Source organism: Homo sapiens, chromosome 4, assembly GCF_000001405.40.
Source record: "Homo sapiens chromosome 4, GRCh38.p14 Primary Assembly".
Taxonomy (NCBI): Eukaryota; Metazoa; Chordata; class Mammalia; order Primates; family Hominidae; genus Homo; species Homo sapiens.
The window spans coordinates 154,805,377-154,821,121 of NC_000004.12; the positions used below are offsets into that span (position 1 = coordinate 154,805,377).

The 15,745-nt window shown below is 31.5% G+C and overlaps 1 protein-coding gene across 9 annotated transcripts in view; it reads left to right on the plus strand.

Moving 5' to 3' along the window:
- The window catches only part of RBM46 (RNA binding motif protein 46), a 47,542-nt gene that overhangs the window by 24,105 nt on the left and 7,692 nt on the right, over window positions 1-15,745 (plus strand). Inside the window, exon 5 of one of the 9 annotated variants that reach the window (NM_001277171.2) lies at window positions 14,987-15,046. The exons of the other annotated variants lie outside the window; for them this stretch is intronic. Within the exon in view, the coding sequence (NP_001264100.1) occupies window positions 14,987-15,042 (56 nt within the window). The 3' untranslated portion in view covers window positions 15,043-15,046. The remainder of the gene's footprint in view (window positions 1-14,986; window positions 15,047-15,745) is intronic. 9 annotated transcript variants of the gene reach the window in all.

A 15,745-nucleotide genomic window follows, 5' to 3' on the forward strand; every position in this document is an offset into this window, starting at 1 on the left:
TATTTCAGTATTCATTTTGTAATGGACTTGTATATTGCTTCTTATATTTGACTTTGAAATGGCGTACATCAGTAGAATCTTGCATTTTTTTCTGGTAATTGAATAGTATTTAGTAGATATATATTCTAAGCATGATAGTCGCTGTTAGCTTATCCTTTTTTTCAAATGAAGCTTTTATTTCTGTTATCACTTGTAAATTTGTTGTTGAAAGTTACACTTTTGTGAAAGTATACTATTGTGAGAAGTTTTAATCTGAAAAATATTTGGTGCTTTTTTTCTTATGAGCTATTATTATTTCCAGATTGATGGGCAGAAATGCAAAAATAAAAAATAATTTCAGATAAAAATATTCCAAACCATTGCTTTGAAATAAAGAGAAACTTTCTCCAGGTTTTTTTAACTTAAGAAATAATTCTAGGAGGCACTTAAGCCAAACATGAAATAATGATTCTATGATATTATAATGGAGTTATAAATTATAAATAGAAGAAAAATAATACTTTTCAGAATTTTTTTCCAGTTTTAACTACAGCTCTAACTTGGATGATACTATTCAAACTCATATTTTAAAGAACAAAGGTAATTTGCAAAATTTCTTTTAAAATTTACCTACTTAAATGAGAAATAGGCATCAGGATCAACATTTTACACATTTGTTTTCATATGACCAAGTGGTGACCAAAATTCCATTAACTCAACTATGTGTCTTTGACCCTCTGAGAGGGCTTAGTCCTCATGAAAATGTATTTGTATTACTCTTGAAGTTTACTTTTTTTTTTCTGAAAGACCATTTAAATGAACATTTAGCATTACTTATAATTCTCATCTTACAAACACTTGTATTAATGCACCATATATATTATGGAGTTAGTACAGTGAGAGAAGCAGCTTAATAGAATGATTACCAGAATAAAAGTATAAGAATTGAGAATCCTTTCTCAGCCATCAACAAATTGTGTGACCTTAGAATGGCAAATGAATTGTTTAGTCATTGGACTTCAATGTCCTCAGATCTAAAATATCAGGATTTTATTTAGTAAGTTTTAAGGAATCTTTTTTCTAAAAAGATTATGGTTTCATTTAAAATATGGTCAAAATCCTATGTAGAACCAAAAATAATACTTTAAAATATTTTATGTCTGCAGAGATACATATTTGAGTACAAGTAGTTTAAAACCAACAGCTGCTTTTGCAAGAAATAATCCATCAGTTTAATATCCCTTCCTTTATGGAATTCAAAGCTTATGCCCCCCTACTTCACAGCAGAACAGCTGGAAAAAAAAATAAATAAATAAAAGATTCAGTCAGTCAACTGTTTTATTTGCATAATGACAACTAATTGTTTTTCAGTTATTTTCTTCTCTGAATTTGCTAATCAATTACTATAGCCAAAACCAAGGTTTTTAGAAAACAAGTTAACTACTTAAAAGTTTGGAAACTAAATTTTCTTTTTGTAACAGAGGATCTAGGAAAATAATGATGTGTATCAAAACATGCCATGTGGGGAGTATCTGTCCCATAGGTTTATTAACTGATGAAGGTGATCCTTATTATTTTATTTACTTCATAAATCTATTTGATCATGCTTGATTCTTTACCCTATAACTTCTTAATGTCTGGTTAATACGGTCCTAAAATACTCCTTCTAATAAACTAGTTTTAATAGCAGCTACTGCTGTATTAATCTAATGTCTAATCTTATTTAATTCATATTTTTAAAAATGGTTTTAAAAATTTCCCTTTATGTCAGATGCCATTAGCAATTGTGTGTATATGTTAAATATACACACAATTAAATGTTAGTAGCAGTTCATAATTTTGCCACATGATGTCCCTAAATACATATTTTGAATGTAGCAGTTCATAATTTTGCCACATGATGTCCCTAAATACGTATTTTTAATGTGGCTTTAAAAGGAAATTTAATGTTACGTTGATTTGTAGCTCCTCTTTGTCTTACCTTTCTTTTTTTTTTAGAATCAGAAAAATCTCTGTGAAATGCTCTACTTAGTCTTCTTCAGCCTATCATGCCCTTATCTCTGCTTCCTGTTTAATATTTAGTAGACAATTTTTTATGCTGTAGCAGTGTAATTAAGTGAATGGACTCATGAATAAGGAGACAGAAGATGTAGAATGATGGTTTCACTATGGCGAATTTATTTTATGCTTTTAACTACTTTAAAATTCAGTGTTTCTTCCAGGCCTTTTAGGTAAAATCAAACATAGTATCTGCCCTTACTAGTTAATATCTGATATATCATCAATCCCAGAGCATTTCTTCCTCTTTCCAAGACCTGGTAGTACCTTACCTCCAAGAATGGTTCACTTTCCTGTGAAGCTTCAAAACAGAAGGACAATAATTAAAAACCTTAGTATCCCCAAATAATTAGAAACTTTAAATCACCAGAATATTAATAACTCCTTGGATTTTCATGCTCCTTAAGTGACAGTATTTGGTTAGAGATGTATTAATGACATGCGGGTCCTTATTTGTCTCATATATAGCAAGTAACATTTGAGCTATAAGAATGGCCTGCATATGAAATTTTATGTACACAATAGTTCATATTTTAAGAAAATAATTTGGGTAACTAAATAAATTTAGTTTGCCTATACATTGCTTTGATTCAGTAAATATAATCTTTGTACTACACTAATAATATTATCAGCTCTACTATAATTATGTTTATAACTTTGGATTAAAAAGTATATAAGAGTACAATCATCAGAAAACATCAATCTCTTAAACAGTTGTATTGCCTGATAATTTGGTTTTTGTACTTTGTTACTATTCTTGTGTGTTTAAACAGTATACCTTGATTTCTGTACACAAATTCAAGGGATTGGCACTTATTTAAATAAAATGTAAACCATGATATAAAACTCCACCTTTTTATAGAGTAGATAAATCTTTGTTGACCTATGCTTTACTTTTTCTTTTGTGCAATTTGATTGTCCTTCCATTATATAGTCTAAGGATGTTTTTATTAGAGTTACTTTTTTTCTTTGTACTTTTCTTTAATCCTGTTTTGTATATGGATTTTTGTAAGACCGAAGCCCATTTACTTAATTTTTTTCTTGTTAACTTTGTTTCAACAATACATAGTTCCAGTCTGCTTGTTTACTGGCCAGATTATGGGGTAAATGAATATCCACAAAATTTGCAGCATATGTGCCATGTATGTGGACGGCTTTTTTTTTCCTGCTGCTGCCCAGTTAATTTTTGGTCCAAGGGTGACCAAATCTGTAGTTACGAATTTATGAAAGTATTGGATAATTTGGGGCACAGAAGTTATAAGGTTCCAGGTGAGCCATTATCAATCTTTGGAAAACAGGTTAAGATTCTGTTCTGCACTATAAATAATTCAAGCAGTGAAATGCTTGTTAATTTAAAGGCATTTCACCTGTATATATGTGTGTACATGTGTTTCCTTGAGAGAATAAGAATCCCTTAAGGGATTCCTTGGTGTGAACTTAGGTGTGTGTATCAAGTATAGAAATAGTGATTATACCAGAACATTGAAACATTATTTCTTTTCACTTAAGAATTAAAGGGAAAGAGGCAATACTAAGCAAAAATATGATTGCTTTCACTGTGAAGGCACTCACTTAGTTTCGGAGAGGGATTTACAAATGAGATAGTAATGATTTTCTCTATTTCTTAATATTTTCCCTATTTTACTTAGTAGATTTAAGATTTTTAAGTTATTGTATTGAAATACATATATGTATGTGTGACTCTTCTATTTCTCACTAATATACTAGTGTTCTAAAACTCACTTTTATTGATTTTTTTATATCTTTACATTTTATTTTCTTATTTATGTATTTTTTTATTGTGATTTATGCTCCAGGCAGGGTGTTGCTACATTAGCTAATGTGGCTTGGGAGAAGGATGGACAGGGTTTTCATCAATCCTCTGAGGCCTTGGAAAGCAGCTTGATGATATCAGATGCTCTCATTTGAATTGATATATTGGAGAATGATTTCATTGCCTTTAGATTTAATCAGAATTTTTCTGTAATGATTTTTAATTTTAGTTTTTTTATTCTGAAATTATTTATAATGAGTTTTCTATGACAAAAACTTGTATAATCAACTCCCAAGTATTTAGATAGGAGGCATGAAAAATGGAAAGGAAATAATCTGAATATAGTTAGCTTACTTGTTTATCCTAGAATGCTCTTTAAATATATAGTATATTGATTCTAGAAATTTACACAAATTCAATACAAAACCCAGCTTAGGAAAAGTTGGAAAGATGTTCAGTTTCTCCTCCACTCAATTTCTTAACCTGCAGAGATGACATTGTTTCATACTGATGCAGTGCACTTACCTAAGTATTACATTAGTCTGCCCTCTGTTTTTTCTTCATGGTTTTTACTGGTAAGGGTAGGTTGTTCACTTTCATTCCTGCCTCATTCCACAAAAGATTTGAGGTGGCTCCTTAAAAATATGTAAAATACAAAAGGATTCAGATTTTAAATTGGAGAAATTGAGACAATTGGAAATTATGATTAGGAAAATAAAGCCAAGCAAAACCAAACAATAGGTTGTTTAGGGATAGATGATTATGAGGTAAAACCATAAAAATGCCAGGGAATTACTAACATTTAAAAGTTACTACTTGGAGGGAGAAATTGGAAAGGATTCAAAGGGACTTCTGAGGTACTGGTAATTTCCTATTTCTAAACCTGGGTGGTGAGTACATGTTTTCATTTTTTTAATTATGTAAGGCATACACATCTATATTGTATATATTTCTCTGTTTCTATATTTCATTATTAAATTGGGAAAAAATGAAAGCCAGCCAAGGGTGAGAACTTGTGTTATTTTGTCAAAATTGGAATAAGAGTCTTTCTACTCTAGAGAGTCTCAAATTAATATAACTCAAGGTAAAATAGGAAAGTTACATAGTATCAAGGCTAAATAATTTTATTATACTCAGACTATATTTGGAATGTTTTGGTTGCTTTTGGGCACCACAATTTAATTCAACCTTGACAACTTGGGTGAGCTTGGAAACGCCATAATATGTAATAGGACAGTGAACAACTGAAATATTTGGAGCTGTTTAGTGTGTAAATACTAATACAGAGGAAATGTGATTGCAGTTTTCAAATGTTTGAAGTGCTCGCACGTGGAAAAAAGACTTTAGTCTTTATCTTTGGAGCTCTAGGAAGTGGACTTAAGTCTAAAAGAGCAAAGTTTTAAGGAGGTAGATTATGGCTTAATATAAGTCAGAACTATCTAAGCCTTTCAGCTGCTAAAAATTCTCTCAGTACAAAACAACAAACAAAAATAATTTTTTAACATTTATTTTAAATCCATGAAATATATGGGGGAAGGAAAGAGTCTTTACTAGACTATTGTAACTCAGAATTATGTTCCCTAATACCACTTGGAATATAATGGCCTTGCCATTTTCAAGCCCTCTGAGAAATTTACTTTTTAATTTACTTTTTGCAAACTGATTAAGAAAGTTTGATTTGGGAATTTTTATTCTCGTAAGAATATCCCTTTTGCTTACTATTCATTCCTTTAGGCTTCTCATGTTTAGTTTATTAACTGGCAGATGGCTGATTGTTAAATCTTGTTAAAATGTGTTCCTTCAACAAATACTTACCTAAGGCTGTTTTGTGTAAAGTTATGAGGATCACTGTAGTGAATTAGACACAGTTGCTGCTTTCATAGACCTTACATTCTATTGAGACCAATATTCAGTTAGAGTTCTGATAAATGCTCTGAAGTAGTACGGGGTGTTATGAGAACATACAATTGGATGACCTGACCTAAACTGGTATTGGGGTCAGGAAATGGTACATTGCACTTTAGAAAGAATTTCAGGAAAAGGAAATTAAGTACTATGGCATAGCATATAGGCAACACAGGAAAAAAGAGTATGGCATTTCGAGCCAGATTTCCTGGGTTCACATTCTAGCTTCATTACTTACTTGGGAAAGTTACTTAACTTCTCTGTCCTTCAGTTTCATCATTTGTAAAATAGGAATGATGATAACAGTATCTCATAGGGTAATTACATGTATTAAATGAGTTAAAATTATAAAGGGCCCAGAACATTCCCTTTTATATATACTAAGTACCATGTAAATAGTGAAGAATAATTATTCAGAAAACAAATCCAAGATACCAGTTTCCAATCATATGTAATATAAATATTAGAAATAATAATAGTTAAGACTACATGTTAGATTTTGTGCTAAATGCCTTTATATGATGTATTAGTCTCACAGTTCCTTGTGGTAGATAGGATATGTGTGTGTGTGTGTGTCTGTGTGTGTGTGTGTGTGTGTGTGTGTGTGTGACAGAGTTTCGCTGTGTCACCCAGGCTGGAGTGCAGTGGTGCGATCTTGGCTCATTGCAACATCCGCCTCCCGGGTTCAAGTGATTCTCCTGCCTCAGCCTCCCGAGTAGCTGGGATTACAGGCATGTACTACAATGCCTGGCTAATTTTCATATTTTTAGTAGAGACGGGGTTTCCCTGTGTTGGCCAGGCTGGTCACTAATTCCTGACCTCAAGTGATCTGCCTGCCTCTTCCTCCCAAAGTGCTAGGATTACAGGCATGAATGAGCACGCCTGGCCTGTTGTAGATAGGATTTTAATGTTGACACTTCTTTACTTTTTTTTTTTTTTTTTAACAAACAGGCTTCAGTATGTTAAATAATTTGCCCAAGATCCTAGTTAGCATAAGAGGCTGTGCTCTTAACTGCCATCCTTTGTAAATTCACATGATTCCAATGAAAAACTGGTTTTTGTCTAATATTAAACATTTGGTAACAGACAGTGGACTTGTGAAATATTATTGGCAAATTATGTTTCTGTAAGTTAAAATACAATGAGATGGGCTTTCAGTCCTGCCTTACCTTTTTTCCAGAGACTATTTTGGCTTTAGGAAACCTACAGGCCCATGTACCAGACCCCACTCCATTGTAATGTTGACCTGAGACATCTGGTTGAATTCTGAGTTATCCTGAGTTAGAAAAATCTTGTAAACATATCTTGTTTACAAGGTAGCTTCATGATTTTTAAATTTACCCTAGGATCAGCATTGCCAGCCAATGAATGGCATGTGTCAAGGTGGCAGATGATATATGTCTTTCCCCCATCCAGATTCTAGACAGAACATCAAACAGGCAAAGTTTGTTTGTATCTATTTCCTGGTCCCCTGTTACTTGGTACTCATTTTACTCTGATTATATTCAAAACATCCCAATACATAGTTTAGCCATATAATTTATCAGTCCGAATAGGTTTATGCTTTTTCATTGTTACTTCCTTAGGAACCTATCATGGCTTGCTATTGTAGTATAATCAAATACTCTGAACTCCACATTCTCCTGTTCAGAATGCTGTACTGTTTGGCCCCACTTAACCTAACCGTAGCCATACATTTCCTGCTGTGATCATCTGAATTTGCCATGCTCATTGGTAGGTCTAGGCCTTTCCCATTGCTGTGCACTGTGCTTAGAATATTCTGCTTATCCTTATATACTTTTATATTAAGCTGTTATTGGACATAGTAACCCAAAATGACTTTTTCTTTATGATATTACTCAATAATTTTTATATTTTTTATTTACTCAAAATTTTTCTTCCATCAGTGTATATAAAGCCAGTGGACTGTATGATTTGTTGTTATTCCCTGCATTATATGGGTGAGTACTGTCTCCTTTAGTACTCAGCATATGGTGCTTTCCAAATAATTTAAAGCAATCTACATGCTATAAAGTTAAAAGATAAAGATTACAAGGAAAGATACATTTCGGCTGTGCTTTGAGCAGAAAGAAGAAAGGATTGGGAAAGAAATATATGAGATAGGAAGTTGACAGGTATAAACACAGGCATGGTTAAATTATGAATGGTGGTTAATGGGCTGAAATATCTGTGTATATGTCACCAAAGTAAAAATTACCAGTATATAATTTTTAACATGCTAATGTTGGAGGTTTCAAAATAGTAGAAACCCCTGAAATATAGACAGGGGCATATGGATGATTTTATATTGGATATGTGTATATTATATATATGTATATAAATTTGTATAGTGGAATAGGAGATTAAGGTTGTAATTGTTATTTTTAAACCCTCTGAGAAAACCTTTGTGTTTATATCAACCAAATACAGTATAGAATATAATGATTTATGTGCAATTTTTAAATTTCTTTTAAAATTCATTATGTAATCCACAGTTATATCTAGCATAATCTATAACGTTTGATCAAGGCTTCACAAATAGGAAATGTCAGTCGCTTATTGTATGTTATTTCTAATCTTAGTTTATTACTAGCATTATACTTTTATATTCTTCTACACAGGTGTAGACTGAGAAGATGGTGGTGTTCCTTTCAGTTTAGTTTCCTAAAAATAGGAAGAAAGCTTGAAAATTCCAGGTGCTAATATAGCAGGCTTATTTGGAATACACCGGAATCCTGTGCACTCAGTTATTTTCTGTCTTCAAAAGAAGAAATAGTATGACATATCTGAGAGTCTGAAAATAATTTTTATCTTTCATATCATTTACTTTAAAATTTATATGGAATTTTCTGTCAAACTAAAGACCAGTAAAATCTTCAAAGATATAGAATATGCTTTTGTAATTAGTTTCAGTGACATTTTAAACTTCATCACATCTTTGTAGAACAAGTCATCTATCTACAATGTTATGTTTTGTTGAAAATAATGAAAATTAGGAGCCTACTTAGATTTTTACTTAGTTTTCCCTTATTTTGGCCCTTATTCCTGCATAACTTATAGAAAACTAAATATAAAACATTTAATGATACCCATTTTACAGAGAGGTGGTAAAGATCCTGACTCTGGTCTCTGAAGTTTAATTTATCCTATTCTTATTCTCCACTTTTTGACATGCCTTTTCTTTCCCCTAGTCTCTTTCTTATTGTCTTGCCTACTAAATAATCACTTTTGAAATAATTTCTCAGAATATATTCATTAACAGTTGTTGCTTTTTAAAAAGGAATGACACAAATAAGATGGTAAATTAAATTGGGTGAAAGTACCAGTAAGTAGCAACCTTGCATTTGACAGGAAATTGAGACTCTGCTGCTAAGTTTTTGCTTTTGTTGTGAGAATGATCACCATCTCTTCTATATGCCGACAGAAATTTAATTCTTATACATTGGTAATTTAAATCCCAGCATTTTTCCTGTTAAATTTGATTTCATTCAAACCAAAGATTAACAAAGCTAATTCTAAAACTCCAGGTGGTAGATAGTGAAGGCCATTATGAAGACAAGAATTGTTCTGTATTTAATAATATTTCTATGTAGCATCTGTATTGAAAATCATTATAGTTTTTAAATTAGTCTGAATCACATATGCTCTATTTTGGTAGTAACTATAAAGTGATTTTATATTTTATCATAATTATACATTATCAACTTCTCCTTTATATATATCACTGGCAGGTTTTTATCCCCTCCCCCCCTTTTTTTTAAAACTCCTTAAGCTATAACATTACATACAAACAGAAAAGTGCACAAATAATGAGTGTAAATTCAGTAAATTACCATGAGGGACTATGTCGGTATAACTCACCACCGAGGTAAAGACATAAAATACCAACACTCCAAAAGACTCTTTTGTATTTTCCCCAGACATTACTTTCCTTCCTGCTCAAAGGAGGCCACTCCTCTGACTTATTCTATGTATTTTTGAAACTTATGTAACATTTTATGTCATCTTGTCTGGCTTCTTTTAACATTATGTTTGTGGATTGATTCATACTATTTCAGGTAGCAGTACTGTTCATTTGCTGTCATTGATACCTGTATTTCATCGGAGTGTTGTATATAACTTGCTGTCTTTGTTGATGAAAATATAAAGAACTATCAGTTTGGGGCTGTTTGAATAATGACACTCTAAAGATTCTTGAACATAGTGTTTTTGGTGCTCATTTGCACACATTCCTGTTGAATATATAGGAGTGAAAGTGGTGGGTCATGTTTTTTAAACTGTAGTAAATAGGGCCAAATAATTTTCCAAAGTAAGTATACTGATTTACACTTTACTAGCAGTAAATGGGAGTTCCAGTTGTTTCACATTCTTGCCAACACTTAGATATCAGTCTTTTACATTTTGGATATTCTGATTAGTGTATATTTCTTACTGAGATTGTAATTTTTATATGATGATAACTTACGATATTGATCATCTTAGGAGGATTATAGGGCATTACGCTATTGTATTGGTGAAGTATCTTTCTTGTTCAAGTCTTGCTCCTTCATTTTATTGGTTTGTCTGTTTTTTATTTTATTACTTAATATAGAAGTCCTTTATTGAATATATTTTTAAAATATCTTGTTCTACTCTATGACTTACCTGTTTATTCAGGTATGTTTTGAAACATAGAAGTTCTTAATTTTAATATGATTCAATTGATCAATCTTACTTGTGCCATTTGCATCCTGCTTAGAAAACCTTTACTCACCACAGGGTCATGAAATATTTTCTTTATTATCTTTTAGAAACTTCATATCATACCTAAATTTAGTGACAATGCGAAGTATCAGAGTCCGCCCCGCTCATATGAATATTCACTTAACCAACACCATTTTTTGAAGACTTGCCATTTTCCCATGACTCTGCAGTGCCACCTTAATGTAAATCAAGTATGTGTATATACACTGCCTTCTAATATACACACACATATATGACTTATTCTGGATATTAACATTCTATTCCATTGATCTGTTTGTTTTTGCACCAATACCATATTGTCTTAATTCTGTAACTTTATATTTTGTAAATAATATTTTCTCACTTATTTTTTCTTCTTCACAATTATCTTGACTTTTCTCAGCCCTTGAGTTTCCATATGAATTTTAGAATCAGTTTGTAACTTTATATCCAAGACCAAAATCCTAATGGGATTTTGATTGGAACGGAATTGAATCTGTAGATCAGTTTGGGAACAATAACATTTTTATAGTATTGGGTCTTCTGATCCATGAACATGATACCTCTCTTCATTTACCTAGGCTTTTAAAAAATTTGCTCTCTCAGTAGTTTACTGTTTAAATATCTTCTACATCTTTCTCCAGACTTATACCTAGTGTTTTTCATAATGTCATCATAAAAAATAACTTATCTTAATTTCAGTTTCTAATTGTTCCTGCTTTATGTGAAAACGATTTATTTTTTAATATATTGGGTAAAACTACTTATTTGTGTCAAATAGTTTGACTCTACAGTAATTTTTCTGCATACACTTTTATCAACTAAATGTAAAGAGCTTTTTCTTCCTTTCCATCCTTTATACACATCTTTTTTTTTTCTCTTGCCTTACTGCACTGGCTAGAACTACTTTTTCAACATTGAATACAAATTATGATAAAAACCATCCTTATAAACTTTCAGTATTTCTCCACTAAGATATGATGTGTGTTATAGCTTTTATTATAGAAGTCGTTTATCACTTAAGATACTCTCTTTTATTCCTGCTTTGTATGAGTTTTTATCATGAATGGGTCATGAATTTTGTCAAATACTTTTTTGCATCTAGTTAATTACATCATTTTTGTCTTTTATTCTTTTAATGCAATAAGTTGCATTGATTGATATTTGAATGTTACATGAATCTTATTTCCGAAGTAAACTCAATTTGGTCATGGTACATTATACATTATACTTTTTATATATTGCTAAAATTCATTTGTTTTTTTTAGGATTTTTACATCTGTGTTCATTAGTGAGATTGACTCATTCTTTTCCTCATAAAAATAGTTGGGAAATGTTTTAAATTTCACTGTTCTCTGTAAGAATTTATATAAGATTGGTGTTACATCGTTTTTGAATATGTGGAATATTATTTAAGAGGCCATCTTAGAGTTTTTAGCCCCTCTTTTATTAAGGTTACAAATATCTCTCCTAAGTATGGTTAGAGCTGCATCCCATACATTTGGTTTTTCTCTTTCTTTTTTTTTTTTTTTTTTTGATGCTGAGTCTCATACTGTCGCCCAGGCTGGAGTGCAGTGGCGTGATCTCGGCTCACTGCAACCTCCGCCTCCTGGGTTCAAGCAATTCTCTTGCCTCAGCCTCCCGAGTAGCTGGGATTACAGGTGCGCACACCACACCCAGCTGATTTTTGTATTTTTAGTAGAGATGGGATTTCATCATGTTGGCCAGGCTGGTCTCAAACTCCTGACCTCAGGTGATGTGCCCGCCTTGGCCTCCCAAAGTGCTGGGATTACAGGTGTGATCCATCATGCCTGGCCTTGTGTTCCATACATTTTGATATGTTTTATTTTTATTATCATTTGTTTAAAAATATTTTTTATGTTTTGATTTCTTCTTGAATCTTCAGTATTAATTTCTAAATATACATTTAATGTCCTTGCCGATAGGCTTGGGATTAAGTCTCTCATTTTGCCATTTGCGTTCTGTTTTCTCTGCTTGTTTTATTTTTTCATTTCTTGCCTTTTTTTTATACAGTGTTTATTTTGACTTTCTTTTCTTTAGCTGTATTAGTTATTCAGTCTTTAATCTCTTAGTCCTTACTCTATAAATGCCAACATGCATTCCTAACTTACTGAAGTCTAATATTAATGAGTATTTTATCACATCCTAGATAATACAAGGAACTTAGTACACTTTGACTTCTTTCATTTCTTTTACAATTTATGTAGTGTCATTGGTACTTATATATATATATTTAAACCTTATACATTTAAAACCCCACAATGCCCAATATAATAAAAACATCTAGTTATAATCGTTTTTATACTTAATATACATTGATATTGATTTACACATTTATCATTTCCTTTGCCCTCTGTTTCTTCCATCTCTAAGCTTCCACTAGAATTGTTTATTTATTCTACCTAAAGAATACTGATTCATATTTTCTTTTGTGTGGATATGCTTATGACAAATTATCTCTATTTTCATTTGTCTGAATGTATTCTTAGTTCACCTGCCATTTGAAAGGTTATTTTTGCTAGGCCAGCAGTTATTTTACTTCAGCCCTTTGCAGTAGTTATGATTCCACTGTCCTTTAGCTTCTGTTGTTTCTCTTGGGAAATCTGTTGTTGATCAGCTTGTTACTCCTTTGAACATACATTGTGCCATCATTCCCTGTACCCAGCTACTTCTACTATTTTCTTTTTATCTATGATTTTCAGAAGTTTTACTATTATGGATTTGACTTTTGTATAGTCTTCTTAGTTTTCATCTTGCTTGGTACTTTCACCACTTCTGAAGTCTAGATTAATGTATTAGTAAGTTCTGCGTTATTGTGTTTTCAAATACTGCATTTGTTCATTTTCTCTCTTATTTATGGTAATCCAGCTACACATATGTTAAACCTTTTTACTGTAACCTGTGTATTGATTATATTTCTTCTGTATTGTCCATCCTTTTGTATGTCAGTCTGTATATTTTCTTACCTGTCTTCTGTTTTGTAATTTTTTTATCTGTAAAAAATTTAAAAGGTTTATCCTAAGAACCATTCATTTAGATTCATTTCTCAGTTCTAGAATTAAATTTGAGTCTCTTTTGTGATTTCTACTTCCTTCCAAAAATTTTAGTCTTTTATTTTCTTGAGTGTATTAGGCATTGTTATTTCAATACTCAGTTCTGAAATTTAATGATCTAAATACCCTGTGGATCTGTTACTGTTGTCTGCTGTTTCTGTTGGTTTTAGGTGATAGTAATTTTACCTCCTTGTATGACTGGTTATTTTTTATTCAATACCAGATACTGTGTATGAAAAATTGTGGAGACAATTTGAAGGCTAGCACGATGTTATATTTATTCATAGAAGATTTATTTTGGCTTCAGAAAGGTGGCCAAAGGACTGACAAACCCAGATTGCTTTAATCTAGGCAGGAATTGAAGTTAAATTTAGTCTCTGTTAAAGTTTGTCTGTTTCTGGTCCATTTTTACTCAGTTCCAGTCATTCCTTGTTAGTAGCTCTTTAGTTCTAGTTTTTGTCTTCCTAGCTTCATTTGTCTCTTGGCACCTTCTGTTAATTCCCAAGAGGGAGCTTTTGGGAATTGGCCAAGCCTTCCAGAGGAAATGCACCTCCCAAAGAGGTGCACATACGTTTGGGTTTTCTTCTTGTCTGAGATCACAGCCCCATAATTCGTCACTGTCTTGGTTCTCAGTGATTTGAAACAAATGTTTTTGTTTTTAATAATTTCTTACATTTTCTAGTTCTTACCAAGAGGGTTGATTAGTGTTACCTAGTTCATCATGTAAAAACAGAAGATATTGTGATTATTTTTATACTGAATTATAATCTTTAGATGGTTATTTTTATATCTAGTTTTCTATAGGTTATCAGAAATTTTTCATTTGTTTATACTTTTATACACAATTTCTTAGCATAGATTTGGATATACATCCATAACAGAAAGCTTTAAGGCATATGAAGAGGTAACCACTAAAATAGATGGATGCCCACAGTTGTACTATATATGACTAAATTAGATTTCAAGTAGATAAAATTTAGCTGTTGGGAAGAAAGATTTAAGTTTAGTATTATTTTGGCCATCTATCTTTTTTAAGACAGCAAGGAAATGGTGTTTCATATGTAAAATAACTACACCTTATACAACATTTCTATTTCCCAAATTTACTTAGATTCTTTGGCTTTCTGCTTATCAGAAATTGGGTGATCTCATTTGTTTTTAGAGTCTCTTCTTTATCTTAGCAGGGTAGTAATATTTAGAAAGATAAACGATAATTTGTTTAGAAAGATAAATTTTTTTCTGATAATGTATTAATCATAATTTTCATTCAAATATCAAAATACTCTTCTCTTTGTTCATCTTTATAGAACTCCAGAAATAACTATTTGCCCCTTACTTCTTTTTCTCTAAATTTGTTTTTTTATTTACTGATCAAAAGGTTTTTAACTAAAGTTACCAAGGATTCCATGCACTTCCAAGATAGGGATAACATCAATCTAAAGACTCAATTATTTTCTGTCTTCACTGCTTACAGACAGGGAACACAATCTCTTCAGCCTGGACCTGTGTAGAAGAATTTGGAGAAAATAAACAGGTAAGAGTTTATTAGGTAAAACTCTCTTAGGAATATTAAGTAATATATTTAATTGTCAGAAAACCAGTTTCAAATTGTTCTTTATAATGAAAAGAATGAAACTTTATGAAGTATTTTTTATAATAGCCTTGTTAATTATAGACTCATTAAGCAAATGTTTTAAAAAGTTAAAGTGGTTTCTGTATTTTCAGGTCTTCTCAAAACATTTAACATGCTAGTATACCTTGAACCACCAAGATGGTAAACAGTATTATAAATTCGATATATTTGGAGTTACTGTGTTATTTATAGATTATCCAAGTATTTCTCAAAAGTATCTGAGAATACGACTCTCTTGTTTTTCAACCTTAAACCCAAGTCTTATTGAAACAATTTGGGATAAAAGTTGTATTTACTAAGATTTAGTGTTTAGTTTATTCAACAAGGTACTTCTTGAGGAAGATAAGTTTTAGTAGGAAGTTAAAAGATAGCTTATTTGAGTCAAGATTATTACCTCACAAAGTCTTTTTTTACATGTAGAGGCAAAAGAATGATGTTTTCTAGGATGTAATTCATGTACTACATCTGTGTCCTTGAGTAAGTTAATTTGACCTTTTTGTGCTTCACTTCCTCATTGACAAAGGGGATAATAATAGTACTTATAAGTCTGTTATGTGGATTCAGTTGTACTAATCTTGTGTGGTTATTTTTATCACTTAA